We start from the raw sequence: 17,593 nt of genomic DNA, 5'->3' as shown, positions 1-17,593 counted from the left end.
TCCCCTACCTCTGCCCCAAGGATGGAGAGACAGTGAAAGAGTAGGGTTCTCTTAGCAACTCCCTCATACAGACCTCTAACCTAGTACTTGTTTACTTGACTCCCTCTCTCTGGAAAATACAGGACACAGGGTAAGAAGGGAAACAGATAAAAAAGTTTGACAAACATTAGATGAGAGCCCTATGATGAAAACAAAGAGCAGAGGCAATATAAACAGTGGTTAAGAATCTTTCCAGAACTGATGAAAGACACCAAAGCATAGATTGAAGAGGCCAAATAAATATAAATAAAGACAAATCTAAAAAAATGATATCCACACTCAGTCACATCAAAGTAAAAGTGTTAGTGCTAATACCCAAAAGTCCAGGAGACCTACAGGAGTCCTGAAAAGACACCTGGCCCCGGAGAGAGGCCCGGGGAAGTTTTCCAGAGCATGTGATGGAGGGGCTGTAGGTTGAGTCCTAAATGATGAGTAAATGTCAGCCAGGTGTGAGAGGGGAGCAGGGGTAGAAAATGAAATGCAGAGGAGGGGGAGTATTGGGCAGAAGCCACATATCAGCAAAGCTGCAGGACAAGAAACGCATGTGTCACAGACAAATAGGCAAGTTGGTGTTATGAAAGTGTAAAGTGTGAGGCCAAACCGGAAATGTCAGAGACAAAGAGGTCTTAAAGGCAGAGACAGATAAGGAGAGATCATTTTCAAAGGAGCAGCAGATGAGAGTCATGGCTGACTTTTCTCCTGTGATAATAGAAGCAAGATATAATGGAACATGGAATAGTTCAAGATACTGAAAGAAAATGCCTGCCGATGCAGCATTCCAAACTTGGCAAATATACCTTTTTTTTTTTTTGAGACAGAGTCTCACTCTGTGGTCCAGACTGGAGTGCAGTGGCACAATCTCAGCTCACTGCAGCCTCTGCCTCCAGGGTTCAGGCGATTCTCCTGCCTCAGCCTCTCGAGTAGCTGGGATTACAGGTGGACACTACCAAATCTGGCTATTTTTGTTTTTTGTATTTTCAGTAGAGACAGGGTTTCACCATGTTGGCCTGGCTGGTCTAAAACTTCTGGCCTCAAGTGATCCACCCACCTTGGCCTCCCAAAGTGCTGGGATTACAGACATGAGCCACCACATCTGGCCAAAATATCTTTCAACTATGAAGGGAGAGGGAGAGAGAGTCGGGGGGCGGGTAGAGAGAGAGAGAGAGAGAGAGAGAGAAAGTGAGAGAAAAAACCAAGAATGTTTGCTACCAGAAAACCAATTCTAAACAGCTTTCTAGAATATATTTCAGGAAAAAAGATTCTGGATGGAAGATCTGAGAATACTAACAGAATGTAAGGAATAAAGAATAGAGACTATGGTAAATATATATGTAAATCAAAATGAGCAGTGAATGTACGAAATAAAACCAAAGATGATGATGACGTCTTTGGGGGCTCAAAAATATAGAATTGGTATTTCATTAATAATAAAATGCCATTAATAGTAAGATGCATAATTTATATATCACTAAGGGAAAAAAATGTTGCCAGTTAAACTATTAAGAACTAACATAGTCCTGAACAGCACATGAATCATCCAATGTCATGTTAATTTAAATTTTAAAAATGTCTTCCGAAGGATTAAGCAATTCCTTCTGGTTTCATTTGCATTGACAGTTTATGAGATAAATTACCCTTTTGCTTTTTATCTTACAAGAAAAAGTAACATGGCTTCATCCACATGTGGGTATCTCTCTTTCCTAGGTTCTATAAAGCACCAGATTGTTGCTTTACAAAAAATATGGAATTCTGGTCATTTCTCAAACAAATGTTACAGGTGTCACAGAATGGAAGGTATGCTTACTCTTTTACTTCTGTGCCCTTCTGTATACACCATAACTTTGTTTCAGTGGCAGCTAATAATGTAATACTTTTGCAAATGTTTGAAAAGGCAATAAATTAAACATGTATCAATGAACAAATAATTCAATTACAGTGATAATATGAACAGCAATGACAAGAGTTCAGGCACCTGCAGGCAATGACAACTTTATCAGGACTGCCACCTGAGACCAACAGCAACTGTAAATCACCATCGGTTGAAGACATATCTCTATTTCAGAGATGTTCGAATGTGAAATAACATGTATATTGGAATTGATAAAATGCCACAAAGCATGTTATAAAAATAGCATGTAAGTTGTGAGGAGGAAAACTAGAGTTCAACTGTTCTAAGGTCTTTATGTTATCTGGAGGAGGGTAAAGGTTTTATACTTTGAAATTATCAAATATATACTTTGATAACTGAAGTATAGATGTGGTGATTTCTGGGTAACCAGTAAAAGAATATTTAAAAAACATATAATTGCATAATTTTCAACTAGTAGAAAGAAAAGAATGGATTGATAAAAATACCCAGCCAATCCAAATGAAGACAAGTAAAGGGAAAAAAAGAAACATATGGGACAAACTAGGATGGTATATTGAAATACCATCAGTATTTAAATGCACCAGTAATTACATCAAGCAAATTAATTTAAATCCAATTTAAAAATTACAAGACTAAAAAAAGTCAAAATCATATGCTGATTATGAAACACATAACTAAACCTTCAGATCACAGATTGAGAGTAGATGTAAAAGAAGGAGCTGGTGGAGCTATACTAATATCTGACAGAATAGGCTTTAATACAAAGGTGAAGAAGAAAAATGGTATCTGATATAAGGAAGATACTTGTATGCACTTTTTTTTTTTGGGGGACAGAGTCTCTCACTCTCTTGCCCAGGCTGGAGTGCAGCAGCATGATCTCGGCTCACTGCAGCCTCCGCTTCCTGGGTTCAAGCCATTCTCCTGCCTCAATCTCCCAAGTAGCTGGGATTACAGGCACAAGCCACCATGCCCGGCTAATTTTTTATTTTTAGTATAGACGAGGTTTCACCATGTTGGCCAGGCTGGTCTCAAACTCCTGACCTCAAGTGATCCACCTGCCTTGGCCTCCCAAAGTGCTGGGATTACAGGTGTGAGCCACCATGCTCGGCCTTGTATGCACATTTTAAAATAGACTTGAAGCTAATGACATGGCCTCAAGATTTAGAAAGCAAAAACTGACAGAATTTCAAGAAGAAACAAACAAATCCACAATCATTGTGGGAGATTAGAAACACATATCTCTTATCATTAGAGCAGGCAGGCAATTAAGTCAGTCCAAGTAGAGAAGATTTAAACAACATGAATAATGAATTTGATTTAAAGGGTATATATGTATATGTATGTGATTGTGTACACACACACAGACACACACACAGAGAGATATATATACTGCATTTGACAGGCATAAAATATACATTCTTTTCAAGTTCACATGGAATATTTATAAAAACGAGACAAAAAATGTGTTACAAAGAAAATAAGGAATTGAAATCATGCATAGTATATTTTCTGACCTTATTCGGTTTAAGCTAAAAATTTAAAAAGAGAGTAATGTGCCTAAGAAACTCATGGGTCAGGCCAGGGGCGGTGGCTCACGCCTGTAATCCCAGCACTTTGGGAGGCTGAGGCAGGCGATCACCTGAGGTTGGGAGGTCAAGACCAGCCTGACCAACATGGAGAAACCCCGCCGCTACTAAAAATACAAAAAATTTAGCTGGGTGCGCTGGCGCAAGCCTGTAATCCCAGCTACTTAGTTGGCTGAGGCAGGAGAATCACTTGAACCTGGGAGGCAGAGGTTGTGGTGAGCTGAGATCGCACCATTGTACTCCAGCCTGGGCAACAAGAACAAAACTCTGTCTCAAAACCAAACCAAACCAAACCAAACCAAACCAAACCAAACCAAACCAAACCAAAAAACAAACAAACAAAAAATACTCATGAGTCAAAAAATCATAATGGAAATTAGAAATATGTTAACCAAATGATAATGAAATATTTATATTAAAATTTGTGAGATGCAGCTAAAGTCATGCTTAGAGGGAAACTTATAGCCCTAAATACAAATACTGAAAAAGAAGAGTAGCTGAAAGTTAACGATATAAGAATCCATTTTTAAAAGGTAGACAAGGCCAGGGGCAGTGGGCCACACCTAGTAATCCCAACAGCACTTTGGGAGGCTGAGGTGGGTCAATCACTTGAGCCCAGGAGTTGGAAACTTGCCTGGGCAGCATGGTGAAATCCTATTTCTACAAAAAATACAAAAATTAGCCAGGCGTGGTGGCACACACCTGTAGTCCCAGCTACTGAGGAGGCTGAGGTGGGAGGATCATATGAGCCCAGGGAGGTGGAGGCTACAGTGAGCTGTGATTGACCCACTGTACTCCAGCCTGGGTGAGAGAGGGAGACCCTGTCTCAAAAAAAAAAAAAAAAAATAGACAAAGCAAAATAAATTGGAAGAAAGTATGAGGAAGGAAAAGGAGAACATAAATAAAGGTAGTAGGCTTTGGGAAAGGCTGCTGATGAATTTGAACTTTGATACTCACGACAAGAGGATGAGGCAGAAGAAGAGCAATGAGAATGCAATGGCTCCATATACAATGCCCTGGATTAATCCTTTCACGAACACACTGGAAACTGATTTCTTATCTGGAATTGGAGGGAAGTGAGATTCACCTTTCTCCAAAGGCTTTAAAGTCTGAGCTAAAACTCTCTACCCTTTCCTCCGGCCCTGTGCCCATCTGCATCTGGTCTTTAGGTGTTCTTTCCAGCTCAGTCACTAGGTCCCTGGATACTCAGTTGGTATCAGGAAGATGCTGGAAGTGTGAATTCCATATTGGTTCTTCCCCTCACAGTGAAGTCTCATGACTCTTTCTGGCTCCCCAATGAGGCTGATGGTGCTGTTGGCCCAGGGGGCACATGTGGAAGAAGTCACCCGGAGGATGTTATCCATGCTGTTCACAGCCACAGGGACACCTCCCATCCACCACTGCACGGAGGGCGTGGGGATCCCGTGGAAGGAACAGCTGCACAGAACTGTCTTCTCCAAGGAACAAGAGGAATTGAACAACCTGGCAGGTGCTGTGCAGAGGAAGAATCAGGGATCATCAAGATGTCCTGACTTTGCTTCTCTACTTCCCCTAAGACCCAGCCTTCTCTTTACTTGCTATTCACAGGGAGCTTCAGAAAGACTTTCTGGCAACCCAGAGTGGGGCTGGGACTCAAAACAGTCCCCTTTCATCCTCTCTCCACATCTGCCTCAGACTTGGGCTCAGCTCCTACCTCTGGCCTTTCAGCCCCAAAGGTCTTCCCAAAGGGGGAAGATGTGACAGCTCCTAAGACTTCTCTCCCTCTGGGGCTCAGGTCTTTTCTTGAGCCCACTATTTCTCAGGATCCTGCCTGTGCCCACCAGCACTCACAGACCACTTGGAGCTTGACCAAGCTACTTCTGGTCACGTTGGCTAGGGATAAGTTCAAGTGACATCCAAGGGTGTTGCCATGGTCCTCAGGCCTCAGGGTGAAGTGCAGCACCGAGGAGGAGCTGCTGGAGATGGCTGGGTTCTTCCGGGAGTGGAAGAGGGCTTTGGTTTCTTTGCAGGTGCCTTTGAGGGTACAGTTCAAGGTCACAGTCTTCTCAGCCAAAAGAATCTCTGGCATGTGGAGCTCTGGCTTTTGGGTTAGCTCTGGAGAAGAGAGAAGTAGACCCAAACCTTGGGGGAAAAGGGACCCTCATGGACACTTCACTGATGCACAACGTTTCCAGGTTACAAAGTGCTCCCCACCCATTAGCTCATTTGCAACCCCCTCACCTCCCCAACCGCCTTGTGAAACCTGGGATTGTTGTGGTTTAATGGTTTTTCACAAATAGATTTCCTTTCTCTGTGTGGAAGGGGAACAGCCCAGCGTCCAGGTGATAAAACTGAAGAGAACTACTCAAGGTTGTAGAGCTTGAACCTGAACTCTGGTCTTCAAAGACTGAGGGTGAGTAGTTTTCTGAGGCTCTACATTGTAGAATGAGGATTCTACATTCTGACCCCTTACCTGAGTCCTAGACTACATGTGCTAGTGGTAGCTCCTACTCTGTCTCCCTTTTCCAGCCCAGTTCTCCCTTAGACTCTGCCCCTTCCCAGCCCAATCTGTGATCATTTCCTCTCTATTTTGTACTGGTTGGATGATATAGGGTGAATCGCTTCTCTCTTTGCCATTTCTATTTGGAAAAGTAAAGTTACCTATTATACTGATCTCATTGCATCATTATAAAACTCAAATACCTAAGGTTTTGTAAAGCCCAGTGCCCATCAGGTAAAAACCACATAATCACCAGAACCACTTTTGGATTTCCTTCTTTCCAAACCACTTATCGGATGATATTGAACATCACCTGACACAAAAAGTTTGATATTCTCCCCCAGGAAAGCACTTTTTTGTTCTCCTAGATCTGCGTAGAATAAATATATTATGCTGTTCCCTTTGAGTATATCGTGGATGAGTAGGGTACAGTCTTCTTCATCAAGATTCCCAGTCATGTAAAATTTGTCCTTGGTGTTATCACCAATGGTAGCATTGGGTTTATTTGTAGCTACCAGGGAGCTGATGTTTTTGTTGAGCCAGTAGTGCATGATCATGGAATTGCTTGGGGGTTCTTTGGGAAATTCAAATGCACAAGGGATTGTAGTGCACAGCCCCTCTTCCACTGGTATCTTCTTGACTTCCATCAAAACATGAGAAAGTAGCCCTGTAAGGAGAGATCCAAGTTGAAAAACAGACCCACCTAGCATACTCCTGTATTATATCTGTGCATTAAAAGAGTCACCTTACCTAAGAAAGGCTTGACACTTGTCCAACTCCTATGAGGTGATCTCTAAACCCTTGGGATATCCTGCCTGATAAGAGTGTCTTTGTTTACCTGGGACCTTGGACTTCATCAGTTGATGCTAACACTATGATTTATGGTGGGAGCCCTGGATCCTGGGGCATCAGCTTGACCTCTGGAGGGGCTGAAGACTAAGCTAAGTCAGTGACCAGACCCACAATAAAAACCCTGGACACCAAGGCTTGGGTGCACTTCTCTACTTGGCATGTCTGTGCATGTCACCACACATTGTTGCAGAAAGAAGTAAGCTCTATTGGTGCAACACCACTGGGAGAGGTCAGCTGAAAGCTCATGCCTGCTCTCTCCTGGACCCTGCCCTATGCACCTCTTCCCTGTACTGATTTTCATCTGTACTCTTTTGCTATAATCAACTGCAATCATGAGTAAAACAGTTCTGCTGAGTTTTGAGTCCTTCTTGTGGATCACTGAATCAGAGGCATCTTGGGGGGACTCCTAAACTGCACCACCCCAATCTAGTCTGCTGGATTTTTTATTGCTCTTCTTGTTGGTATTAACCGTATCTTGTGATCTGGGTCATGTTGTATCATTTCTGAATCTCAGTTTCTCAATCAGAGAAGTGGGTACGATAATACCAATGCTACAGTATTGTGATAATTAAGGACCATAACTACAGAGGCACATGGCCCTCTGTAATAACTGCAGATTTTGACTTCAGTCACATTACATTACAAGAGACCATGTCATAGTGAACCGTTAGTGAATAATTGTGCTCACCACCCATTAGCTCATTTGGAACTCCCTCCCCTCCCCAACAGCCTTGTGAAAGCTAGGATTGTTGTGGTTGAATGGTTTCCACAAATAAATTTCCTTTTGCTCTGTAGAAGGGGAACACCCCATTGTCTAGGTGAGCAAACTGAAGAGAATTACTCAAGGTGGTAGAGCTTGAACCTGAACTCTGGTCTTCAAAGACTGAGGGTTTTTTGAGGATCTATATTGTAGAATAAAGATTCTACTTTTTTTTTCTTTTTTAGACAGAGTCTTGCTGTCACCCAGGGTGAAGTGCAGTGGCACGATCTTGGCTCACTGCAACACCCACTCCTGGGTTCAAGTGATTCTCCCAACTCAGCCTCCCCAGTAGCTGGGATTACAGGTGCCCACCACCACACCTGGCTAATTTTTCTACTTTTAGTAGAGACAGGGTTTCACCATGTTGGCCAGGCTGGTATCCAACTCCTGACCTCAGGAGATCTGCCCAACTTGGCCTCCCAGCATGCTGGGATTACAGGCATGAGCCACTGTGCTTGGCCAAGTACCTAATTTTTTAGGTACTTCATCTTACCTCAGCCTTCATCTTACCTCAGCCCTGTCTGCCTTCCAACTCCACCCACCCTTACCTCCCCAAGACACCTCCATGCTGCCTCTCCTTCTACTTACCCAACCATAGCAGTGGCAGTGCCATCAGCCCCAGCGAGATCTCAGGGGCAAGAGAGGACCAGGATGTATCCTGCTGCTAACTCTGACCTCAGATTGGTCTGTCCTGGAGGGCAGGATTTGGAATGGATGAGGAGAGGGGCAGCAGTAAGAAGCATGGGGTGAGGCTAGAAAGAAGTCCACTGCTTGCTAGGGGCTCTTGTCTTTTCAATCCACCCCTAAGGTCTGCGAATCTTGTGAATTAGGGGCCTGATGGGACCAGATGCTGGGGAGCTTCAAGAACAGAGTTTGGGCTGGGCGCAGTGGCTCACACCTGTAATCCCAGCATTTTGAGAGGCTGAGCCCAAGAGTTTGAGACCAGCCTGGGCAATGTAGGGAGACCCTCTCCCTACAAAATGTTAAAAAAAATTAGTCGGGTGTAATGGTACATGCCTGTAGTTCCAGCTACTCAGGAAGCTGAGGTGGGAGGATCTCTTGTGCCTGGGAGGTTGAGGCTGTAGTGAGCTGTGGTCACAACACTGTACTCCAGCCTGGGCAACAGAGCGAGACCCTGCCTCAGAAACAAAAGAACAGGGGTTGTCCGCACGCTCTTTGTGAAGCCTCAACACCATGTCTGCTTTCCTGTCTCTAGTCTGCATTCCCACTCCATTACCTCTTCAAAGAGCCTCAAATGCCAAGCTGAGGAGCTCGGACTCCCTCCCACGTCAATGGGGGAAGTCATGGAAATTATGGAATGGTTTTGAACCATGGGAGAACGGGTTTGGGTGTTCGAAAGGTTCCTCTGGGTCTGCAGTGAGGAGGAAGCAACAGTCCAGGAGAAAGAGGATGAAGTCTGAGCTGCAACAATAGCTATGGGGGACAAAGAGAAGGTGATATATTTAAGAGAGATATTTGAGAAATAAACAATATTTCAGCGGCTGATAGGATACATTCCAAACTCCCTTGCCTTTCATTCGAGCTCTCCCTGATTTTGCCCCGCTTTTCCCTTACCTCGATAGCCCCCATGCCTGCACCCTGTCATTCTTTCTTTTTTGAGACAGAGTCTTGCTCTGTCACCCAGGCTGGAGTGCAGTGGCGCGATCTCAGCTCACCGCAACCTCTGCCTCCCGGGTTCAAGCAATTCTCCTGCCTCAGCCTCCTGAGTAGCTGGGGCTAAAGGTGCCTGCCAGCACGCCCAGCTAATTTTTGTATTTTTGGTAGAGACAGGGTTTCGCCATGGTGGCCAGGCTGGTCTCAAACTCCTAACCTTGGGTGATCTGCCCACCTTGGCCTCCCAAAGTGCTGGGATTACAGGCGGGAGCCAATGCACCGGCTGAAATGGGGATCCTTTCTACAGATGCTCCGCACATCCTTCCTCCGCCTGTTTACTCAGGCCACTCCCCGTGTCATGGCGTCCTTCTGCAGCTCTGTCCTTTGCCCACATTCAAACCCTCCTTCTCTCTCCAAGTCCAGGTCAAATGTAACCTCCTCCTGGAAGTTCTCTCCTGGATCTCACAACCAGAAAGAAGCCTCCTCTCTCAGACTGTCTTCAGCAGCCCTAGCTATCCATCTCCTCTAGGGCAATATCTCAGGTAGACCCTGAGAGTTGCCTACCTGATATTCAACCTCTGTTTCCTCCTTGTTATTTCAAATTTGTCCAGGTGATCAAGCCACCAATCTGAAAAATAAAATCTCTATTTTCTTGTTTCATTTTCATCTAGGGTGGCCATATGGCAGAGTTCTGGCCAGTGAGCCAAGGAGAAGAAAAATGTTATCAAATTACTATCAGTGAATAAAAGCCTATTCAGCTTTTCTCCCTTTTTTTTTTGCCATCCCAACTGAGCTCCCAAGGGTTTTTTTTTTTTTTCATGTAATACTAGCTAATAAAATTCCAGGACTTGGTTTTAAAAACATAAATTTTCATAATAAAGTACATGACTCTCAGAAAGAGTTGAAGGACACGTTTCCTGCCCCTGCAGCAATAAATCAAAAGATATTGTTCTGTGTTATAAAATGGTTCAAGGAATTTGATTTGATGTTGTGCAAAACTGAGACTGTTTATAAGAATATCATTTATGTTCTCCTCTGCAATATACAGTTTTGTATGAATATTCATGACGGTTGCTGACTTGTTCTAGTCTTTGGTAATACGAATCTGCTCTTGGAAGAATAATTTAAACCAAATGGTCTTATGAGACTACAAAGATGTTAGAAATTATTCCATGTCTTATGAAAATGATCCCCAAATAAAATGGAATTCTGACGGGTTGTCTTATTTGATGATTTCTTGCTCTGGTAATAATAACATTGTAATTGACATCTCTGTTTTCCTAAATTGTATACCAATCTGTAGGACCGTACTCTTCTTTCTCATGAACAATGCAAAAAAATAAAAATAAAAACCTGGCCAGGCGTGGTGGCTCATGCCCGTAATCCCAGCACTTTGGAAGGCTGAGGCAGGTGGATCACCTGAGGTCAGGAGTTTGAGATCAGCCTGGTGAAACCCCGTCTCTACTAAAAATACAAATATATATATAGAGGGTGTAGTGGCAGGCGCGCCTGTAATCCCAGCTACTGGGGAGGCTGAGGCAGAAGAATCGCTTGAACCCGGGAGGCGGAGGTTGCAGTGAGCTGAGATTGCACCATTGCACTCCAGCCTGGGCAACAAGAGTGAAACTCCATCTCAAAAATAAATAAATAAATAAATAAATAAATAAATAAATAAATAAATAAAAGAAATCTTTAACTCCACTAGATTACTGAGCGCACATTTTGAGAGACTTGTCTACTTAAAAATACCAAACTTAAGAGGCTATCTGCTGGAGAGTTTTGGGAGTTCTGCTTTTCTGACACTAGCACCATCATTTCCTCCTCCTCACCTTCCTCTTCTTACTTCCTGGAAGATGAACGTGATGCTGGAGATGGTGCAGCCACCTGGCGACTATGAGACAACTGTGAGAATGAAAGCTAGAGATCTGGGGATGTCACTGACAACAACATGGGGAGCCTGGTTTTCTGATGACCCTGTGGAGCTATTGTAACAACCCCACACAGCCCACTGCCATATCTCTTCTCCATTTGATTGTCACGCTAGTTGGGAAACTGATAAAATGCCTTACCAGGGAATCTAGCCAAAAGTGAACTCCTAGGCCAGGCGTGGTGGCTCACGCCTGGAATCCCAGCATTTTGGGAGGCCGAGACGGGCAGATTGCTGGAGCCTAGGAGTTTGAGGCCAGCCTGGGCAACATGGAGAAACCCCATCTCTACTAAAAGTACAAAAATTAGCCAGGTGTGATGGCACATGCCTGTAGTCCCAGTTACTCGGGAGGCTGAGGTGGGAGAATTGCTTGAACTGGGGAGGCAGAGGTTGCAGTGAGCCAAGATCGCGCCACTGCGCTCCAGCCTGGGTGACAGAGCAAGACTCCATCCCCACCATAAAAAAAAAGTAAAGCTTCCATGCTTGCAGGTACCAGATGAATGGGGCCTGTTTGTGAAGACATAGGAGACTCCTTGGGGACTCCTAGAAAACTTTTGGAGGAAGATGACAAGGAGACTCTGCAGGGGGCTCTGCAGCTGAGGAAGGACAGTGGAATTTCCATTACTCCATTGTTCCAGTGATATTTCCACCATTGCCCCTTCACATTTCCACATCTGCATGGCATCCTTTTAAATTATAAATCAATCATGTCAGTTCCCTGTTCGTTACCATCTGTTGGCTTCACTTTACTGTCAAAATAAACTCCAAAATTTGACAGATTTTGGCAGACTGCTAGAAATACTACCTAACCCTACTTCCCCTCTGTTTCTCTTTCTCTCCTTGGTCAGCTTCTGCCCCTTCACAGTACGCAGGGAAGTAACTCTGTATCTATTCTGACCAGAATGTGAGTTCCTTGAGAAAATTAGTCATGTCCAAATATCTTTTGTGTGTCATGTTGGAATCACCTTTGTGTACCACTTCTGGGTGGCCTTTGTGTGTCATGCCCAAGGTACCTTTATGTGACATAATGGAGTCCACCTTTCAAAGTCAAGTCTGAGTCACTTTTGTGTCTCTAGTACCCAACACACAATCTGGAACACAGCTGGTGCATAATAAAGCTTTATCAAATGAAAGAAGATTTGGAACCAAGAAATTTGGGGTTTTGGCAAGGCGCGGGGACTCACACCTGTAATCCCAGCACTTTGGGAGGCCAAGGCGGGCAGCTCACTTGAGGCCAGGAGTTCGAGACCAGCCTAGCCAACATGGCAAAATCCCTTCTCTACTTAAAAAGCAAAAATTAGCCAGGCGTGGTGGCATGCGCCTGTAGTCCCAACTGCTCAGGAGGCTGAGTTATGAGAATCACTTGAACCCAGGAGGCAGAGGCTGCAGTGAGCAGAGATTGTGCCACTGCATTCCAGCCTGGGAGACAGACAGAGAGAGAGAGAGAGAAAGGGAGAGAAAGAGAGAGAGATAAATAAATAAATAAATAAATCTGGGTTCTAGCTGTGGCTCTGCAGATACCTTAAAATAAATAAATAAATAATACCGAACAATCATGGTGGCCCATGTGCTGTGCACTGGAGATTCACATACTTTATCATTCTCAATCTCACAACAGCACTGTGATGTAGTTCTCAATGCATCACTTCGCAGATAAGGAAACTGAGGCCCAGAACAGCATAGGAACTAGTCAGGTTCACAGGGCCAAGAAATGGACATCCTGAAGTCATAATGTAGGTCCCTGGACTCCGAACCCAGTGTTCTTTCCGGTATGCCAGGCTGCCTTCAGAACTGCTGTGTCATCACGGTTGAAGCCTCTTCTCCTCTCTGAGTCCCATGCTTCATGTATAAAATATGGGAATAAATCAAACTGTCCTGTCCACCTCACAAGGTTTGAGAAAGACAGTGGGAAAAGCATATAGTTTTGCACCATATGAGTTACAAATGTCTTCCCCCTCGACTTGTGTGGTAGGCAAAATTCTAAAGATGTCTCCCATTCCAAGATTCCTGTGCCCTGGTTATTCAATTAAACATTAATCTACGTGCTTCAGTGAAGGGACTTTGCTGACTGAGTGAAGGGACTTTGCTGATAGAGTGAAGGTGACTAATCTGCTGATCTTAAATTGAGGAGATCATCCTGCACTATCTGAGTGAATGTAATGTAATCACGTGAAACTTGCAAAGCAGAAAAGTCAGAGAGATTCAGGAGAAAGAAAGGGCATACATGAGCCAGAAGTGGAGGTCAGAGAGATGTGAAGCATACGAAGGATTTGACTCACCATTGTTTGCTTTGAAGATGAAGGAACGAACCCACGAGCCCATGAGGGCAGCTCCTAGAAGCTGACAATGACCCCAGCAGACAGCTAGCAAGGGAATGCAGACCTCACTACTACAAAGCATGGAACTGATTCTGAATGTGTTTGGAAATGGGTTCATCCAAAGGGACTCGAGAAAGCAACATAGCCCTGCCAACACTGTGATTCAGGCCTTGTGAAAGCTGGAGCAGAAAACCAGGGGAACCACGCCACACCAGAACTTTTGACCTTCTGTGAGATCATACATGAGTGTTACTTTAAAAGCTGCTAAAATTGGGCTGGGCCCAGTGGCTCATGCCTATAATCCCAGCACTTTGGAAGGCCAAGGCAGGTGGATCACATGAGGCCAGGAGTTCCAGGCCAGCCTGGGCAACATGGCAAAACCCTGTCTCTACTAAAAATATTTTTAGAAAATTATCCAGGTGTGGTGGTACTTGGGAGGCTGAGGAATGAGAATAGCTTGAACCCAGGAGACAGAGGTTGCAGCGAGCCGAGATTGCACCACTGCACTCCAGTCTGGGTGACACAGTGAGACTTGGTCTCAAAACAAACAACAAAAAAGCTGCTAAAGTTGTGGTAATTCTTTTTTTTTTTTTTGAGACGGAGTCTCGCTCTGTCGCCCAGGCTGGAGTGCAGTGGCGGGATCTCGGCTCACTGCAAGCTCCGCCTCCCGGGTTCACGCCATTCTCCTGCCTCAGCCTCCCAAGTAGCTGGGACTACAGGCGCCCGCCACTACGCCCGGCTAATTTTTTGTATTTTTAGTAGAGACGGGGTTTCACCGTTTTTAGCCGGGATGGTCTCGATCTCCTGACCTCGTGATCCGCCCGCCTCGGCCTCCCAAAGTGCTGGGATTACAGGCGTGAGCCACCGCGCCCGGCCAAGTTGTGGTAATTCTTATGAAAGCAACAGGAAACCCATACAACTTGGATGTGAAGCCAGTTCAAAGGAAGGGTTCTAGATTCTTCTGTGAGTGGACGGCCAGCAGTCCAAAGGCTTGGTCTTTGCCTCCCATTTTCTAGGTTTTTCTGGGCCAGGCCCTTCCCTCACTAGGGAACTGCTTCCTCATTTAAGATAGTCTAGAGTTTGCAAATTAGTGGCTTTGTGAGGTAGTTAAAATGCAGGGGGTTTTATTTAGCCTGCATTAAGAAAACTGCATACAGACTTTCTTTCATTAGTTGCAATGTTTAAAAATCAGGATCCTCACATAAAAGTCTGAACTCCCAGCTACTTTTTAATAAATTAGATCTGACAACACATGGCAGATATTAACTTTCCCCTTTAATATTGGACAATTGTTCTCCAGTCCATTGCTGCCCCTGCTCTCCCTGCTGCACTCACCTGGGAGGGGCATATAACACAGTGGTTAAGACCGTGTGCTGAGTCAGCCTGCCTGAGTTTAAGTCTGGCGCCACCATTTGCCAGCTGTGTGACTGTGGGCAAATTACTTCCCCTCTCTGGGTTTCCCGTTTCCTCACTTATAACATGTAGATTTTAACAGGATTCATCTGACAGAATTGTTGGGAGCATTAAATGATTAAATGAATGAATGCATGTAAAACCCTCAGAACAGAGGCCAGCACAAAATAAGTGCTAGGCAACTGTTTATCATTCACATCACCTGCCTGGTTCCCTCAGCATTTAATTTGTGACCGCTCTTGACTCATCTCTTTTCTCAGTGATGTTTTGATTCAAGAACCAGCCCTCTGCTTTTCCATTCTGATCGCTGCCTCTCTTAAAAAAACGACTCCCTCCTTACATCAAGATGCTACTCAGGCTTCCAGATAACAAATCCTATCTCTGCATCATAACCCACTTTTGCTTTTTTTTCACTATCAAAATCCTTCCTCCTCCTCCTTTAATTTACAACCTCGAATCAAAGGTTGGGAAGAGCTCTGGGCTGGTTCCAACTGGGGCTTTGCCAGTAACTCGTTGGATAGCTCTGGGCAAGTTCTGTCCCCTTTCTGCTTCCCCCTCTTTTTCCTCCTCGGTAGAATGGGAGGGTTACTGCAGACTATGTAAGGGTCCTTCAGATTCAAAAACTCTGATCTCTCACATCTGTAATCCCAGCACTTTGGGAGGCTGAGGTGGGAGGATCGCTTGAGCCCAGAAGTTTGAGACCAGCCTGGGCAACACAGCGACACCCTGTCTCTACAAAACAATTTAAAAAATTAGCCCGGCATTGTGGGTGCAGCTACTCTGGAAGCTGAGGTGGGAGGACTGCTTGAGCCTGGGAGGTCGAGGCTGCAGTGAGCTGAGATTGTGCCACTGAACTCCAGCCTGGGTGACAGAGCAAGACACTGTCTCAAATTAAATAGATGAATAAAATAATGAAATAAAAATAAAATTCTGATCTCTTTCCAGTCTCACTTCCTTCTCCAGGCCCTGGTGTGTGCGTGAGTTTTCTTCACAGGTGATCTCTTTTCCCTCCCCCTAAATTATCACTTCTTTTTCCATATTTACCTCCCAGTCTCAGGGTCCAAGGAGCTCCAGCCTGGTCCTTCCTCAGCACTATTTCCTTAAAAACCGAATGTCCTCCTGAATTTTTGCATCAAGCGGGTTTGTTTGACTTCCTATTACTGTTTTCAATGACTCCGGATGCGCCCGATGAACTGACTGACACGTGGAATAACCGTGTACACAAACACGGAGTGCCTCACGGGGAAGTGACTAAGGCAGAGGAAGGCTAACGGATTCGCTGAACTGGGAGTCCCCTGAGGCCTCGCCAACCTCCTTGCACGGGGATACCAATCCCTTGAAGCCCCGCCCCGCAAGCTCGCGCGGGTTTGTCCAGAGCCAATCAGGGCCTGACCCTTCTCGCGGGAGCTGCTGGGATGCGCAGCCGCATAAGAGAGCGCGCGGGTCTCCAGAGCCTGAGCTAGTCAGAAGCAACAGTTGCTACTGCGTCCCCCGGACATTGGGAGAATCGTTTTCCTTGGGCAGCTGGTTCCAGACCCCCACCAGTCCTCTAGACTCCAGGCCAATCAGTTGCTAAGGGACGTTCCTCTCTCAACCTGGTATGTGCGGGAAGTCAAGGCATTAACTAAGGCACAAAATGACTAGTGCTGGACCCCAGGGCTGGTCAGAAGGCACCCTGTGTACTCATTGTTTCCTGTCCTGCACGCGAGGCCCCTATCACCGAGAAAACAAGACACACGATGAAGCCCAGCCTCTCTATTCCCATTCCCAAACCCATCTCTGACCTATCTCCAACCCGATCCCTATCCTCTCTCCTATTCCTTTTCTACATTTTTTTCTCTTCTTTCCCAACACTGGCACTCTCCCTCTCCCCAGCCTTGTCTGCCTCTCCCTCCCAAACAGAGGATGTATCTTTAGTAGAAGCAAACACCAAACCTGTTACATAGAGGCTTCTATCCTCAACTCAAAACCTCTGCTGCCCAGGATTCTCACACAGCTCCACTGGATGTGATTCTCAAACAATCTGCACTTTCCAGAATTACAAAGCATAAGAGGAAATAACCCTCCATAAGTGAGGACAAAACCTAAACTTCCCACTAGAGCCCTGGAAGGCCTGCAAGTTCTGGCCCTTCAGGAGCTCATCCCTCAGTCAATTCCAGTCACAGCGGCCTGCTCTGGGCTCCTGAACTCACCAAACTGTTCTCATGTCAGAGCTTAGGATCTACTGCTCCCTCTGTCTAGCCAGCTCCTAATAATCCTATAGGTCTCAAGGCAAGTGTCACTTTCTCTGAGAGGCCTTCTCTGACTCTGTAATCCAACCTAGCTTCCTTTCCTGTGCTTTCTCATAGTATTCTGTCCTGTTTTCTTTCTAGCACTTATCAACATTTTAAGCTATAAATTCGTCTGCATTTCTTCATCGTCTGTCTATGTAGACCATGACTCCACGGAGGCAGGGTGAGTGTCTTACTTCTTCCCCTCATTATCTGGCACATGGTGGCACATCTGATATTTCTGTGAAATGTGAACTGCCTGTGAGAGGTGCTTATACATGTGGGGGCTAACGTAAACGTCCACCCTGAGTATAAGATGACCATCTAGCTGGTGCTACAGGATCACTGTATTTACCCACAAATATTGCCCCAGGGAAGAGATGACCCTCTTTCCACCTACTGAAAACTACTAGCATCTGGCCAGGCACGGTGGCTCACTCCTGTAATCCCAGTACTTTGGGCGGC

The 17,593-nt window shown here is 45.2% G+C and overlaps 3 long non-coding RNA genes and 2 pseudogenes across 5 annotated transcripts in view; 1 reads left to right on the top strand and 4 right to left on the bottom strand.

Annotated features, from left to right (window-relative positions):
• On the bottom strand, window positions 4,398-5,699 carry LOC107985326 (uncharacterized). Its single transcript, XR_001753981.1, has 2 exons — window positions 5,326-5,699; window positions 4,398-4,555 (listed from the first exon to the last, which is right to left on the bottom strand). It is a non-coding gene; the product is annotated as an uncharacterized LOC107985326 (long non-coding RNA).
• Window positions 4,450-4,997, bottom strand: LOC100420904 (SIGLEC family like 1 pseudogene; annotated as a pseudogene).
• Window positions 6,241-16,209, bottom strand: LINC01872 (long intergenic non-protein coding RNA 1872). The gene is made up of 3 exons (NR_136526.1): window positions 15,903-16,209; window positions 8,604-8,721; window positions 6,241-6,641 (listed from the first exon to the last, which is right to left on the bottom strand). It is a non-coding gene; the product is annotated as a long intergenic non-protein coding RNA 1872 (long non-coding RNA).
• On the bottom strand, window positions 6,287-6,640 carry SIGLEC24P (sialic acid binding Ig like lectin 24, pseudogene; annotated as a pseudogene).
• A 98-nt stretch (window positions 16,210-16,307) lies between the features above and the next one.
• Window positions 16,308-17,593, top strand: part of LOC107985327 (uncharacterized) — an 84,260-nt gene continuing 82,974 nt past the window's right edge. For all 3 annotated transcript variants that reach the window (XR_007067309.1, XR_001753982.2, XR_001753983.2), the window contains exons 1-2: window positions 16,308-16,456; window positions 17,231-17,312. This is a non-coding gene — a long non-coding RNA (uncharacterized LOC107985327). The remainder of the gene's footprint in view (window positions 16,457-17,230; window positions 17,313-17,593) is intronic.

The sequence above is a fragment of the Homo sapiens genome, chromosome 19 (assembly GCF_000001405.40).
Source record: "Homo sapiens chromosome 19, GRCh38.p14 Primary Assembly".
Classification (NCBI taxonomy): Eukaryota; Metazoa; Chordata; class Mammalia; order Primates; family Hominidae; genus Homo; species Homo sapiens.
The sequence above is the reverse complement of the archived record's forward strand: the minus strand, read 5'-3'. Positions and strand labels throughout refer to the sequence as shown.